Genomic DNA, 17,297 nt, shown 5'->3' with positions numbered 1-17,297 from the left:
CAAGACACAAAATTTCCATCACCAGAAAAGAATTCCCTTGTGCTATCTCTGTATTCACTCTTCCCTCCAAAAACTCATCCTGTCCTCTGGCAACCACTAATTTGTTCTTTTCTTTCCCATACTACACTGATGTACAGTAATTTGTTCTCTATTTCTACAGTTCTGTCAAGAATGTTACTTTAGGCTGGGCGTGGTGGCTCACCCCTGTAATCCCAGCACTTTGGGAGGCCAAGGCAGGTGGATCATGAGGTCAGGAGATGGAGACCATCCTAGCCAACGTGGTGAAACCCTGTCTCTACTAAAAATACAAAAAAATAAAATAAAAATAAAAATAAAAAATAAATTAGCTGGGCGTGGTGGCGGGCGCCTGTAATTCCAGCCACTTGGGAGGCTGAGGCACGAGAATCGCTTGAACCCAGGAGGCAGAGGTTGCAGTGAGCCAAGCCAAGATGGCGCCACTGTACTCCAGCCTGGCGACACAGCGAGACTCTCTGTCTCAAAAAAAAAAAAAAAAAAAAAAAAAAGAATGTTATTTTAAACATTTAATACATTTTTGAATAGGTAATATATGATTTTTCTTTTTTAACAGCTTTTCTGAGGTATAACTGATATACAATAAGCTACACATACTTAAAGTGTACATTTTGATAAGTTTTCACATACGTATAAGACTTTGAAACAATAATTAAGATATTGAACATTTCCATCATCTCCAAAAGTTTCCTTAAGCTCCTTTGTAATCTTCCCCTTCTGTCTCTCTCTATTCCCACACTTCTGGTGATTCTCACAGGTAACCACTGATCTGTTTTCTGTTACAATATATGAGTTTGTATTTTCTAGAATTTTATATGGAATTGTATTGTATGCACTCTTTTTTGAATAACTTCTTTCACTCAGTGTAATTATTTTGAGAGTTATTCAATCTGCTGCATGTATCAATAGTTCTTTCTGTTGCTTAGTATTCTATTGTAGGGACATCACAATTTAGTTATCCATTCACCTGGTGGACACTTAAGTTGTTTCCAGTTTTAAGTTATTACAAATACAGCTGATGTGAACACCTGTGTACAAGTCTGTGTGGAGACATACTTTCATTTGTCTTTGGTGAATACTTAGTAGTGCACTGACTGGGTCATATGGTGGTAGTATGTTTCGCTTTTAAAGAAATTCCCAAACTATTTTCTAAAGTGGCTGTACCCATAATAGGTGTGTGGTAGTATCTCACTGTGATTTTATTTGCATTTCCCTAATGACTGATGCTTAACCCCTTTTCAAGCACTTATTTACCAGCCACATAACTTTGCTGAAGAAACTGTTTAAATTTTTGCCTATTCTTTTTCTTAGGTTTTCTTCTTAGTATTTAAATCTTAAAAATTATTTGTAGTACCTTCTGGAAACAAGGCCTTAATCAGATATGTGATTTGCAAATAATTCCTCCCAGTCTGTAGCTTGTCTCTTCATTCCCTTAATGTTTCTGAAGAGCATAAGTTGTCAATTTTGATAAACTCCAATTTATCATTTTTGTCCCTTTATGGATCATGCTTTTGATATCAAATCTAAGAAATCTTTGTGTAATCCAAGATCATAAAGATTTCTTCCTATGTTTTCTTCTAAAAGTTTTACAGTTTCAGGGTTTACATTTAGATCTATGATCCATTTTAATTTTTATACATTTTGTGAGGTATGGAGCAAAGATATTTTGTTTTTGCATATGGATATCCAATTATCCCGGCACCGTTTGTTGAAAAGACTGTCCTTTCTCTGCTTTCAGTTTTGTTGAAAAGAAAACGTTCATCAAACTATTTTGGATGGGTAGTACATTCACATTATTTTTAAAGTACAAAAAGATTAAGTGAAAAACATCCCAGCTGCCCAGTCTCCTTCCTCAAAAATAATGTTGCCAGTTTATTATGGGTCATTTTAGACAGTCTATGCTTATACAAGTGAATACATACGTATATATTCTTTATCTCCCCACCCTTTTTACATCCAAATAGTAAAATATTACATATACTCTTCTGAACTTTTACTGTTTAAACCTAATAATATATATATATCTTGAAGCAGTATTGCAAAACTATGGATACAAACTATTATTTAGCCAGTCTCTTATTGATAAGATTTTGGTTGCTTCCTCTGTTGCTATTAGCCAGCAATACTTCAGTAAGTGACCTTGTATACATGTCATGTGTACAAGCCAGTATATCAGTAGGAAAAAGTCCTAGAAGGACAATTGTAGGGTCAAAGTTGTGATAAATATTGCTAAATTGCCCTCCATAGGAAGGCATAGGAACTCCATAGGAAGTTGTACTGTTTCATAATCCCAACGGTAACAAAGGAGGATGTCTTTTCCCCACATCTACCTCAACGTTATAAAACATCCTTAAACTTGAACCTGTAACATTTAAAATATTTAACTTTTTCTACAGAAAAGGATCCCAGAAAAGTGCAAAAGACGGCAACTTACAGGTCCTGATAATCTACTGAATTTTGTTCTAGAAAAGTATACAAGAATATCATTTTAAAAATTCTACCAGTTTTTTAAGTGTATGTATATATCAGTATGTATATACACACATATAAATGCAAAAATGCCACTAGATGTTTACAGAAGACATCTAAATAGTAGTGAGGCAGGAGAATAGGGTCTGGAGGCAGGGAACCTAAGGCCAATTCATGCTGATTTCCTAAAGCTGGATCAAGGAAAAACACCAAGGTCTGGGGACAGGAAAAGTGAGGCCAATTTTTGCTGACTTCCCAAAGCTGGATCAAAAGGAAAACACCTGGGTCTTGCGACCGGGAAGCTAAGTCCAATTAACACCAACTTACAAAAGCTACACCAAAAGGAAAAACCCCATCTCCCCAGCAAGTAGCAAAGGATCAAAGGCTACTACTCTCCCTACACTCCTCCCGCTTCCACCATGTCTCAGATGGAAAGGGAGAGTGTCTTGGATTGGCCCGGAGCCAAGCATGGGCCATCCCTTCATCAGCATAGGGCATCAATTCACCTGAGCCTTTAATTAGCCACAGGCCAAATCCTTCATCCAGATAAGAGGTAGCCATAGGGACCTCAAAAGGAGTACTTAAAACCCAGAAAACTCCACACCCTATGGAGTTCTTTCATCGTTTTAATAAATCCCTGCTTTCGCTGCTTCCTTCATTACTTTGCGCGATTTTTTCAATTCTTTGTTCAAAACACCAAGGACCTGGACAACTAACACTCACAGCCCTCCTTCCGGTAATAGTAGCCCACTCTAGAAGATAAGCTATAGTATTTTCTATTTCTAAATATCAGATAAAGATGAATGCTCTAATAAGTTTTCTCAAGAAAATATTTTCCAATGTTAAATTTCTTGGGGTTTCTTGAATTAATTTTCTATTTGAAAATGAGGCTTTATCCAAGCATTTTAGCTCAAATGTTAAGATTAGGTAGAAATTTTGAATTTTTTAAAAAATCAAAATTATATAAAAAACTCAGTAGTTACTGTTACGCCAAATGTTCTATGTCTAAAACTAATTATGTGATGGCTAGGATAATGGTTTCAATCTATATTAGTCTTTTTTCTATTTGTGAAGAACCTTATTTCCTTGTTAGTCATATCTTCAAGCATTATATTTCTGGATTAATATTTCATTCTTGTATAAATTTAAAACTTCCTTAAGATTTAATTTGTGGTCTTCACTTACCGAGTCCTGTTTAAGAAAATTTGGTGATTCATCATTTATTAAAGGTCTTGAGGCTAGAATCTCTATTTTGCCTTCCAGTCTTCCCTCCATGGTTTTAATAGCATTCAAAAGAGTCTTTAGAGAGATCCTAGAGTCTCCAATATCCTGAGATGTTTTCATAGAAGGCAGGTTAGGTGCAAAGCTCACACGGCGTGTAGAGTTTGGAATAACACTAGGCAAACCAACTGATGACGTTCTTTCCTTTATACTGTTTACATGGGACCTAGAGATTTCGGGGGATTTTGAAGATGCAGTCCTCTCTGGGGATTTCCTTTTTCTTAGAGGCATCGTCAATTATTAATAAAAACAATAAAATCAGCTAAACCTAGAGTTATTTTTCAAGGAATAGCCCCTTTACTAGGAGAAACAACACAGTGTTCTAGAAGGAGCCGTAATGGAAAATATATTGAAAATGTGTTTCTCTGCTTTCAGAGTGAAGAGATCACACTGTAAAATATGACCCAGCAAAGAAACAGACCTTATGCCAACTTCCCTGTCAGAGAGCGCATCTAATGAGGCCTCCTTTAACAACTCTGTGACCTCATCACTCATCAGCAGAGTCAAGTGGTTAGAACTCTATGAGTATTCCATTTGAAAACATATTTTAGTTCCTTGGTTACCAGGGGTATAGATACACAAATATCATAGACACAGAAGTTACATATGCTTTTATTAAGAGTTAATGATTTAAAAAATAACCTAATGATATGAGTGCTAAATTTGTAAATAATTGAAATGAGTCACTTTCTTCTGGTAACACCTTCCTGGGGTATGTTCTTCACTAAATGTTTTTGTTATCTTGCTTAACTTTTTCTATTCATTCGTTAAAATATTATGTGAACTATGAAAGGTTTTTAGCTTCAAGAGCCACCATGCTGACAAGTAAGCACTTTCATTACCAATACTTCTTTCAGGTGAGCATCTGCCTGCTGCAGGTGTACCCTCTTGGCACTGAGTTCTGAGTTTGCCTTTAATTCAAAAAACAAAGATACTTGTTCCTCACAACTGCCAAAATTTTAAAAAGCACTGCCTTTATGAAAGCATTTCTCACTGCTTCTACTCATAATAATGCTCCCTATGAATGTTCAGTAATACAATCTATTTTTCTGAAAAGCATAACTTTCTATTCTCTAATAAAGTTTATGGAGTACATTTCCTAACTATAATAAGCAAGTTGAATGTCTCAATCCTGCTTCAGGTATCTTTACAATTTCTGAGGCTTTAGCAGAACCTTGTATGTACTAGGTGCTTGAAAAAAAGTTTGTTAAACTGAGTCAAGTGACAGCATATTTATCTTTCTGGGATTGTGTGGTAAAGTGGGGAAAAAGACATCAAACAATTTCTTAAAAACGAAATATAGCAGCAATCCGCTTTTGTAGATATTAATCACACCTGAGCATATTTAGTCTGTAAATACTTATTCATCTTGCGTAGATGATCATTCTGTAAGCTGGTGTCAGTAAAAGACTGTACTTGTTCTTCTAGCTGTTTAACTTTTATCTAGAGGAAAAACAAAAATACAAAAAAAATTTTAAAAAATAAAACATTTAAACATATATATTTACACATATTTATATACTCCAGAAGGGGGAAAAAGGGTCATGAGTTGTAAAAAAAAAAAAAAAAAAATTACAGAGAATCTTTAAAACTTGCAAAAAGCAATCCTAAGTTTAATCATGCAAAAAATGATATACACTCTGTAGCCATTTAAATGTACTGAGATAACTCATTTGGTTTCTAGTGCTTATAGGCCTCCAAATGGACATGACTCATGAATATAACAGTGAGATTTTGTGGCTAATGTAATTCAAAAATTTGTGGCTAATATATTTGAATTGTGGTACCTGGCATTCAAAACCCTTTTGAATGTGTATAATTAGAACTGTCAATGTGCAAGAAGCAGACATATCAGACCAGAAGAATGGAATGGGGTGGAGAACAGGCAGAGTCTTGTGTTTCACTGACACAATATTATAAAAGTTGAATAAATGGAATTCTTATATGTTGAATTATATTTTAAAACTAATTCATAAAGATGATACTCACAAGTCTCTCTTCAAAGAAAATTATCATTTTGGAGGACAAAATCATTTAATATATACTTATAAATCTCCAAATTATACGTTTTTCCATATTTGCTTCCTCTTATCCCCAAACCATTCACACACAACAATTAACGTTACCGAACCTACCCCTAAATCAGGAAAATTTTCATCCAAAATTTTATTTAAATCAACAGTTCCATCTCTCAATATCTTGTTTCCTATCTGTAGAGTGCAAACATCTCTTTCACTAGCTACTGGACATTTTCAGCAACTGTTAACATTTGAATGGGGTGTTAGAAATCAGGATGGTTAATTAGCCTTGTGGGTGACAGTTACTGGAAGAGGGTACTGGGTGTTAGGGATGTTCTGTTTCTTGATCTGAGTGCTGATCACATAGCTATATTTACTTTATAAAAAGTTCATCAGGCTGTGCCCTGTGTACTTTTCAGTATATATGCTATAGTTCAACAAGAAATTAACTGTAAAAAACAAGGTAAACCAAGCACTTACCTAACTTCTAAATTAAGGTCACAAATGCAGTTGCTTATAGGGGCCAGGCAGCTAACACAATGTTGAAATCCTAGTGGTTAAGTGATGGGGCCAATGGTAGATTAGAGTGAGGCCAAATAACTCAAACTGACATATGTTTAAAAACAACTTTAAAAATGCTGGAAATCTTTCAGACATATATGCCATCATCCCATCTATCCACCACTGAACTTAAAAAAAAAAACTACCGTTAAAATTGAAAGCTTCTGTGTAGCCTATCCCAACCAAATCTCCTTCTATCCTACAGTTAACTATTTTGCTGAATCTATCATTCCTATTCTTTAAAAAATAACTTTATATGTATCCCTAAACAGTATATAGTATTGTTTTATGAGATTCATCCATGTTAACACATGTAACTCTAATGTACCTATTTAATATGCCCTCTTAAATATACTGATTTTAGGCTATTCCATTCCAAGATGACCAAATAGGAACAGCTCTGGTCTGGAGCTCCCAGCGTGCCCGACACAGAAGACGGGTGATTTCTGCATTTTCACAGAGGTACCTGGTTCATCTCATTGGGACTGGTTGGACAGTGGGTGCAGCCCACAGAGGGTGAGCCAAAGCAGGGCAGGGCATCGCCTCACCCGGGAAGCGCAAGGGGGGTCAGGGGATTTCCCTTTCCTAGCCAAGGGAAGCCGTAACAGATGGTACCTGGAAAAACAGGACACTCCTGCCCAAATACTGTGCTTTTCCAACAGTCTTAGCAAACAGCACACCAGGAGATTATATCCTGCGCCTGGCTTGGCGGGTCCTATGCCCACGGAGCCTTGCTCACTGCTAACGCAGAAGTCTGAGGCAGCAGCCTGGCATGGGGAGGGGCGTCCGCCATTGCTGAGGCTTGAGTAGGTAAACAAAGCAGTCAGGGAAGCTCGAACTGGGCAGAGCCCACCACAGCTCAGCAAGACCTCCTGCTTCTGTAGACTCCACCTCTGGGGGCAGGGCATAGCTGAACAAAAGGCAGCAGAAACTTCTGCAGACTTAAACGTCCCTGTCTGACAGCTCTGAAGAGAGCAGTGGTTCTCGCAGCACAGTGTTTGAGCTCGGAGAACAGACAGACTGCCTCCTCAAGTGGGTCCCTGACCCCCATGTAGTCTAACTGGGAGACACCTCCCAGTAGGGGCCAACTGACACCTCATACAGCCGGGTGCCCCACCAGGACAAAACTTCCAGAGGAAGGATCAGGCAGCCATATTTGCTGTTCTGCAGCCTCCGGTGGTGATACCCAGGCAAACAGGGTCTGGAGTGGACCTCCAACAAACTCCAACAGACCTGCAGCTGAGGGACCTGACTGTTAGAAGGAAAACTAACAAACAAAAAGGAATAGCATCAACATCAACAAAAAGGGCATCCACATGAAAACTCCATCTGTAGGTCACCAATGTCAAAGACCAAAGGTAGATAAAAGCACAAAGATGGGGAGAAACCAGAGCAGAAAAGCTGAAAATTCTAAAAACCAGAGTGCCTCTTCTCCCCCAAAGGATCACAGCTCCTCACCAGCAACGGAACAAAGCTGGACAGAGAATGACTTTGACTACCTGACAGAAGTAGACTTCAGAAGGTCGGTAATAACAAATTTCTCCGAGCCAAAGGAGGATGTTCGAACCCATTGCAAGGAAGCTAAAAACCTTGAAAAAACATTAGACGAATGGCTAACTAGAAAAAACAGTGTAGAGAAGACCATAAATGACCTGATGGAGCTGAAAACCATGGCACGAGAACTACGTGATGCATACACAAGCTTCAATAGCCAATTCGATCAAGTGGAAGAAAGGGTATCAGTGATTGAAGATCAAATCAGTGAAATAAAGCGAGAAGAGAAGTTTAGAGAAAAAAGAGTAAAAAGAAATCAACAAAGCCTCCAAGAAATATGGGACTATGTAAAATGACCAAATCTACGTTTGATTGGTGTACCTGAAAGTGACAGGGAGCATGGAACCAAGATGGAAAACACTCTTCAGGATATTATCCAGGAGAACTTCCCCAACCTAGCAAGACAGGACAACATTCAAATTCAGGATATACAGAGAACACCGCAAAGATACTCCTCAAGAAGAGCAATCCCAAGACACATAATTGTCAGATTCACTAAGGTTGAAATGAAGGAAAAAATGTTAACGGCAGCCAGAGAGAAAGGTCGGGTTACCCACAAAGGAAAGCCCATCAGACTAAGAGCAGATCTCTCAGAGAAACTCTACAAGCCAGAGAGTGGGGGCCAATATTCAACATTCTTAAAGAAAAGAATTTTCAACCCAGAATTTAATATCCAGCTAAATTAAGCTTCATAAGTGAAGGAGAAATAAAAACCTTTACAGACAAGCAAATGCTGAGATATTTTGTCACCACCAGGTCTGCCTTACAAGAGCTCCTGAAGGAAGCACTAAACATGGAAAGGAACAACCGGTACCAGCCACTGCAAAAACATGCCAAATTGCAAAGATCACTGATGCTATGAAGAAACTGCATCAACTAATGGGCAAAATAACCAGCTAACATCATGATGACAGGATCAAATTCACACATAAAAATATTAACCTTAAATGTAAATGGACTAAATGCCCCAATTAAAAGACACAGACTAGCAAATTGGATAAAGAGTCAAGACCCATCACTGTGCTGTATTCAGGAGACCCATCTCACGTTTAGAGACACAAATAGACTCAAAATAAAGGGATGGAGGAAGATCTACCAAGCAAATGGAAACCAAGAAAAAGCAGGGGTTGCAATCCTAGTCTCTGATAAAACAGACTTTAAGCCAACAAAGATCAAAAGAGACAAAGAAGGCCATTACATAACGGTAAAGGGATCAATTCAACAAGAAGAGGTAACTATCCTAAATATATATACACCCAATACAAGAGCACCCAGATTCATAAAGGAAGTTCTTAGAGACCTTTAAAGAGACTTAGACTCCCACACAATAATAGTGGGAGACTTTAACACCCTACTGTCAATGTTCGACAGATCAATGAGACAGAAGGTTAACAAGGATATCCAGGACTTGAACTCAGCTTTGCACCACGCAGACCTAATAGACATCTACAGAACTCTCCACCCCAAATCAACAGAATATACATTCTTCTCAGCACCACATCACACTTATTCCAAAATTGACCATATAGTTGGAAGTAAAGCACTCCTCAGCAAATGTAAAAGAACAGAAATCACAACAAACTGTCTCTCAGATGACAGTACAATCAAATTAGCATTAAGAAACTCACTCAAAACCGCACAACTACATGGAAACTGAACAACCTGGTGCTCCTGAATGACTACTGGGTAAATAACAAAATTAAGGCAGAAATAAAGATGTTCTTTGAAACCAATGAGAGCAAAGACACAATGTACCAGAATCTCTGGGACACATTTAAAGCAGTGTGTAGAGGGAAATTTACAGCACTAAATACCCACAAGAGAAAGCAGGAAAGATCTAAAATCAACACCCTAACATCACAATTAAAAGAACTAGAGAAGCAAGAGCAAACAAATTCAAAAGCTAGCAGCAGGCAAGAAATAACTAAGATCAGAGCAGAACTGAAGGAGACAGAGACACAAAAAACCCTTCAAAAAAATCAAGGAATCCAGGAGACGGTTTTTTGAAAAGATCAGCAAAATTGATAGACTGCTAGCAAGACTAATAAAGAAAAAAATAGAGAAGAATCAAATAGACACAATAAAAAAATGATAAAGGGGATATCACTACCTATCCCACAGAAATACAAACTACCATCAGAGAATACTATAAACACCTCTACACAAATAAACCAGAAAATCTAGAAGAAATGGATAAATTCCTGGACACATACACTCTCCCAAGACTAAACCAGGAAGAAATTGAACTTCTAAATAGACCAATAGCAGTCTCTGAAATTGAGGCAATAATAGCCTACCAACCAAAAAATGTCCAGGACCAGACGGATTCACAGGCAAATTCTACTAGAGGTACAAAGAGGAGCTGATACCATTCCTTCTGAAACTATCCCAATCAATAGAAAAAGAGGGAATCCTCCCTAACACATTTTATGAGGCCAGCATCATCCTGATACCAAAGCCTGGCAGAGACACAACAAAAAAAGAGAATTTTAGACCAATATCCCTGATGAACATTGATGTGAAAATCCTCAATAAAATACTGGCAAAACAAATCCAGCAGCACATCAAAAAGCTTATCCACCACAATCAAGTCAGCTTCATCTCTGGGATGCAAGACTGGTTCAACATACACAAACCAATAAACATAATCCATCACATAAACAGAACCAATGAAAAAACCACGATTATCTCAATAGATGCAGAAAAGGCCTTTGACAAAATTCAACAACTCTTCCTGCTAAAAACTCTCAATAAGCTAGGTATTGATGGAACATTGTCTCAAAATAATAAGAGCTATTTATGAAAAACTGACAGCCAATATCATACTGAATGGGCAAAAACTGAAAGCATTTCCTTTGAAAACTGGCACAAGACAGGGATGCCCTCTCTCACCACTCCTATTCAACATAGTATTGTAAGTTCTAGCCAGGGCAATCAGGCAAGAGAAAGAAATAAAGGGTATTCAATTAGGAAAAGAGGAAGTCAAATTGTCCCTGTTTGCAGATGACATGACTGTATATTTAGAAAACCCCATTGTCTCAGCCCAAAATCTCCTTAAGCTGATAAGCTACTTCAGAAAAGTCTCAGGATACAAAATCAATGTGCAAAAATCACAAGCATTCCTATACACCAATAACAAACAGCCAAATCATGAGTGAACTCCCATTCACAATTGCTTCAAAGAGAATAAAATACCTAGGAATCCAACTTACAAGGGATGTGGAGGACCTCTTCAAGGAGAACTACAAACCACTGCTCAACAAAATAAAAGAGGACACAAACAAATGGAAGAATATTTGTTCTTCCATAATGCCGTATGGCCATACTGCCCAAGGTAATTTATAGATTCAAGGCCATCCCCATCAAGCTACCAATGACTTTCTTCACTACTTTAAAGTTCATATGGAACCAAAAAGGAGCCCGCATTGCCAAGGCAGTCTTAAGCCAAAAGAACAAAGCTGGAGGCATCATGCTACCTGACTTCCAACTATACTATAAGGCTGCAGTAACCAAAACAGCATGGTACTGGCACCAAAACAGATATATAGACCAATGGAACAGAACAGAGCCCTCAGAAATAACACCACACATCTACAACCATCTGATCTTTGACAAATCTGACAAAAACAAGAAATGGGGAAAGGATTTCCTATTTAATAAATGGTGCTGGGAAAACTGGCTAGCCATATGTAGAAAGCTGAAACTGGATCCCTTCCTTACACCTTATACAAAAATTAATTCAAGATGGATTAAAGACTTAAATGTTAGACCTAAAACCATAAAAACCCTAGAAGAAAACCTAAGCAATACCATTCAGGACATAGGCCTCGGCAAAGACTTCATGACTAAAACACCAAAAGCAATGGCAACAAAAGCCAAAATTGACAAATGGGATCTAATTAAACTAAAGAGCTTCTGCATAGCAAAATAAACTAACTACCATGAGAGTGAACAGGCAACCTACAGAATGGGAGAAAATTTTTGCAATCTACCCATCTGACAAAGAGCTAATATCCTGAATCTACAAAGAACTTAAACAAATTTACAAGAAAACAACCCCATCAAAAAGTTGGCGAAGGATATGAACAGACAGTTTTCAAAAGAAGGCATTTATGCAGCCAACAGACACATGAAAAAATGCTCATCATCACTGGCCATCAGAGAAATGCAAATCAAAACCACAATGAGATACCATCTCACACCAGTTAGAAGGGGGATCACTAAAAAGTCAGGAAACAGCAGATGCTGGAGAGGATGTGGAGAAACAGAAATGCTTTTACACTGTTGGTGGAAGTGTAAACTAGTTCAACCATTGTGGAAGACAGTGTGGTGATTCCTCAAGGATCTAGAACTAGAAAATACCATTTGACCCAGCCATCCCATTACTGGGTATATACCCAAAGGATTATAAATCATGCTACTATAAAGACACATGCACATGTATGTTTATTGCGGCACTATTCACAATAGCAAAGACTTGGAACCAACCCAAAATGTTCATAGATGATAGACTGGATTAAGAAAATGTGGCACATATACACCATTCAATACTATGCAGCCATAAAAAAATGATGAGTTCATGTCCTTTGCAGGGACATGGATGCAGCTGGAAACCATCATTATCAGCAAACTATCTCAAGGACAGAAAAACAAACACCCCATGTTCTCACTCATAGGTGGGAATTGAACAACATCAACACCTGGACACAGGGCAGGGAACATCACACCCCGGGGCCTGTCGTGGGGTGGGGAGCAGCGGAAGGGATAGCATTAGGAGATATACCTAATGTAAATGATGAGTTAATGGGTGCAGCAAACCAACATGGCACATGTATATCTATGTAACAAACCTGCATGTTGTGCACATGTACCCTAGAACTTAAAGTATAATTAAAAAAATACTGATTTTAAAACTGGCATAACTACTTTTAGTAAGGGGAAATATAACAAAATCTAGTAAAACTTAGGATATGCACATCCTAAAACCCAGTAATTCTACTCCTAAGAATTTTATATTTAGCTGAGAGAATCTTCTGTATATAAGGAGACAGGTACAAAAATTCATCATATCATCATTGTTATTATTTGCAAGCAATTAAGAACTAGCCGATTATCCATCAACAGAGGAATAAATACATTGTGGCATATTTACATAATGGAATACTGTACAGCACTGAAAAGGAAGTTCAAACCATGTTTGAACATGAGGCAGCAGTTTCCAATAAAGTTTACATTAACACACAAAATCCAGTATTTATATCATTCATTAACAAGTTGATTCTGAAAATGTAGTCTTTTACCAAATACAATTCATATGTATATTTTTAATCCATTCTAATCCAGTTGAGAACACACAGCAGACTACTGTTTTGACTATGTTTAGTATACAGCTCTTCCTTTAAATTGTCTTGTAAGAGTTATGTGCTCCAAGAGCACTTTCCCTAGAGCTGATGAAGTCAGTGCTTTTGGAATGTGGCAGCCCAAGACCTGACATAAAAGCACCAATGAATCAATAGTTCACAATAGTTCAAAAAGTGTTTCTTCAAAGACTATCAAAAATCTTAAACTCTTATTATAGGAATATGAACAGCAAACAGGCATGTATTTCCTTTATGATTACACAGAATCTGGATAATTTCTAAGATTGCATAGTTGAGGTTTAAAAGGTCAGACAGAACATCAGACCCATCCATAAATTATAAAATATATTTCATTCCCAGTCAAAATTTGGCTTTAAGTCTGTCATGAGAGCCTGGGATTTGTCTTATATATTTCATAATATATTTCATTTTTCTTGGAAAAACTAAAAAAAGGTTAAAGTCATGGGTCATAGCCTCTTATAAGATCATTCATTTCAGAAAGGGGAAAGTTATTTTATGCCTGTAAAGATGTATATACCCAGCCTGTAATGTAGCCTATTTTTCCCAATGAGAAGTAGATAAGAGAGGTGTGCTTATCCTCATCATTTTATAGATGATTAAGATGAAACTCAAGAAAATTAAGATCTTTCCACGGTCACATAAATGTAGATAATATTTAAATGCATCACTACCTCTGCAAAATATTAATATTAATAGGTGTTCTAGTAATTCTTTTTATTGTAGTTCTTTTTATTGTTCTAGTAATGTATTGTTCCGCAAGCATGGCTTATCGACTACCTTTTAGATGGCCTGCTATTTCTGGGCCCTATCCTGTCTGCTAACCCTATGGTAAACCCTTTGAGTAGATGAGGATGAGGTTAATGCTGATGTGTTCGGCAAGCTTCTAGTGAGATTACTTATCAAATCAGCTCCATAGTTGCTGCTATGGTTTGGATGTGGTTTGACCCTGCCAAAACTCATGCTGCAATTTAACTGCTGATGTAATTAAATGTTGAGAGGTAGTGGGACCTTTAAGAGGTATTTGGGTAATGAGGGATCTGCTCTCATGAAGGGTTAATGCAGTCTCACATGGGTGAATAAGTTCTCGCTCTTGAGTTGTTATAAAGTGAGGCTGCCTCTTATGTTTGGTCTCTTTGCAAACACCCACTCTCCCATCTGCTTTCTGCCATGACATGAGTCAGCATGAGGTGTTCACAGATAGGGTGTATGATCCTGGACTTCCCAGCCTCCAGAATCATGAGCCAAATAAACTTCTTTAATTTACAAATTACTCAGTCTCAGACATTCTGTTATAGCAACAGAAAACAGACTAGGACGGTTGCCAAGCCTAACTGGGCTTCACTTCATACTATTTAATCTAGTGGGCCTCAACTATGGTTGTAACATTGGAATCATCTGAGTAGCTTTAAAAAGTACTGAAGTCTCTTGTAATCCCAGCACTTTGGGTGGCCAAGGCAGGCAGATTGCTTGAGCTCAGGAGTTCGAGACCAGCCTGGGCTACATGGAGAAACCCTATCTCCATGGAAAAACCAAAAATATGAAAAAACTTGGCTGGGTATGGTGCTGCACACCTGAATCCCAGCTACTTGGGTGACTGAGGTGGGAGGAACATTTGAGCCCGGAAGGCAGAGGCTGCAGCAAGCCCAGATATTGCACCATTGCACTCCAGCCTGGATGAGAGAGTGAGACCTCATCTCACACACACACACACACACACACACACACACACAGCACTTCAGTCAAGGAACTATCCCCTGAGATTTTGATTTAATTGCTCTGGAATGCCTTTCTAGTCATGGGAATTTTCCCCCTTCATTTTTTTCTAGAGACAGGGTCTCACTCTATCACCCAGGCAGGAATGCAATGGCATGATCATAACTCACCATAGCCTCCAACTCCTGGACTCAAGTGATCCTCCCACTTGGGGCTCCCACCTGAGCCTCCCAAGTAGCTAGGATTACAGGCGCTTGCCATCACACTTGCCTAATTTTTATTTATTTAATTTTTGTAGAGTCAGGGTCTTGCTATATTGCCCAGGCTAGTCTCAAACTCCTGGCCTCAAGCCATTCTCCTGCCTCAGCCACCCAAAGTGTTGGGATCAGGTATGAACCACCACGCACAGCCTCCCCCAACATTTTATAAAATGTTTTAAATATATAGAAAAATGGAAAGAATTTTACTGTGAACATGCATACACCAACCATCCCATCCAAATTCTACCATTAATATTCTTTTATTTGCTTATCACGTATCTATCCATTTATCATTTCCTCTATCCATCCATCAACCTATTTTTTCTATGCTGCATTTCAAAGTAAATGGCAGATATCATACACTTCCCAGCATGAGGAATTTTAAAAACTGCCTAGTGATTCTAATGTGTAGCTAAGACTTAGCACCACTGATTTGGATTGCAGTGTTTCCATTGGAGTTAGTTTAAGTCAGGCTTACCTATATCAGTTGCAGGCTTCCTGCTCTGGGGTACCATAGGGACAAAACCCACAGGCAGCAAAAGAACAGTATCATCACATTCACTCAATTGCCTCTGAGTCTGTTTCCAGATTTATTTCTTTTTAGAAATGTGTTATAAAAATTCAGCAAAAAGAGGTATAGGCTTTCTACATTCTCAGTGAATGACCATGCATAAAATGATTATAATAAAGTTTCAAATAGTCACAGAATGGGTTTTGGCTTCACAATTTTAGGTTTCAGCAACTACAGTATGTAAACAGAAGTCACCTGGCTATTAATGAGGCCACAAACTTAAGGATGTTCAGAGACTATAGACTTAGTAAATGACAGAGCTAGGTATTCTCAAAATCTAGCAATATTTAATTTGATAATTGGTATTTTTAAAATTCAAACAAGAAAAATCAGAAAATAAATCTCATACCTGGAGTTTTCCGTTTTCATAGGCCAGTTTATTTTTACTTTCAGTGATTTTTTCCACCTTCTGTTGGGCAAGCTGATAAGGCAAACAAAGGCATCAGAACCTCTAGGCATAGAAAGGAATAACCATTTTCATTTTTAAACAAGTATTTACATCCTTACCATTTCTATCATCATAAGATCAAGATTCCTATTTATTTGCTACTGCTGCTTTTAGTCTTTTCCTACATAGTTGATCACAGGGCTAATATGCAACATGTACAGAGACTGCTAATAAAAGCATGAAGCTTTAAGAGTACCAGAGTTTGTTGGTTTTGTATATTAACTTTTTTTGTTATGTCAGTTATTCCTTTGTAGTTGTGATCCAGCATGGATGTGGTGTGGTTGTATCAGTGACTGCAGGTAGTCTGTGGAGCATTACACAGTTCTTTACGGAAATAGCAGCTGCAAGTGACCAGGACCACTGACAGCAGAAGGCACCTCACTTACCATGGTAAAAAGCAGTTTAGAAAAATCTCAAAAACAAAATAAATGTTTATTGGAGACTCAAACTCATTGTTTGATCAAATACTCAACACAGTATTATCTGGGGCAAACGTTACCAAAGCTTTCATATTTCACGAAATTACATATTTTCATTATTCAAACAGCCTTTAATAATGACAGTTATTTTTTCATATCCTGTTGTTCTCAGACTACATCAGAAAAAAATAAGTACAAAATTTAAATTTTGGGCCATATTGGTACTTTCTTTATATGAGGGGCACCATTAAGTGATTGAACATGGACTTTTCACTCTCCACAATCAATGCCAGTGTTATATCTTAATAACAGGAAATATTGCCATATGTCAAAATCATCTTCATAAACCAAATGTGGAGATAATGCACACAAAGCAAATGTGACTGAAGACACAAACTCTTAATCACTCATAAGCTAACTAGCTGCACTATGGATCATTTGCAGTAAATCTTAAGTTCAAAGTCTTATTAATGTTGGTAAGTATCTCATATTGACATTATTCACTATTTCTGGTTTATATTTGCTTATTCTGTGAATAACAGAACAGAGTGCCTTTTAGGCATTTTAAGCCAAAGAATTTTAGACTTTT

The 17,297-nt window shown here is 37.6% G+C and overlaps 1 protein-coding gene and 1 long non-coding RNA gene across 16 annotated transcripts in view; one reads left to right on the top strand and one right to left on the bottom strand.

Moving 5' to 3' along the window:
* CCDC150 (coiled-coil domain containing 150) overlaps positions 1-17,297 on the bottom strand; it is a 93,092-nt gene that overhangs the window by 15,436 nt on the left and 60,359 nt on the right. For 13 of the 15 annotated variants that reach the window (XM_006712438.4, XM_017003863.2, XM_047443975.1 and 10 more), the window contains 2 exons: positions 16,191-16,262; positions 5,119-5,226 (listed from right to left, as the gene is read on the bottom strand). In XM_006712438.4, coding sequence (XP_006712501.1) covers positions 5,119-5,226; positions 16,191-16,262 — 180 coding nt within the window. Of the gene's footprint in view, positions 1-3,687; positions 4,241-4,631; positions 4,695-5,118; positions 5,227-16,190; positions 16,263-17,297 lie in introns of those variants that run through there. The other 2 variants (NM_001080539.2, NM_001353340.2) reach the window with 2 other exon arrangements.
* On the top strand, positions 4,359-16,737 carry LOC100130452 (uncharacterized). The gene is made up of 4 exons (NR_034036.1): positions 4,359-4,495; positions 4,577-4,640; positions 6,727-6,824; positions 16,530-16,737. It is a non-coding gene; the product is annotated as an uncharacterized LOC100130452 (long non-coding RNA).

This window comes from Homo sapiens, chromosome 2 (genome assembly GCF_000001405.40).
Source record: "Homo sapiens chromosome 2, GRCh38.p14 Primary Assembly".
NCBI lineage: Eukaryota > Metazoa > Chordata > Mammalia > Primates > Hominidae > Homo > Homo sapiens.
Note: the sequence above shows the minus strand (reverse complement) of the source record. Positions and strands in the feature narration are given on the sequence as shown.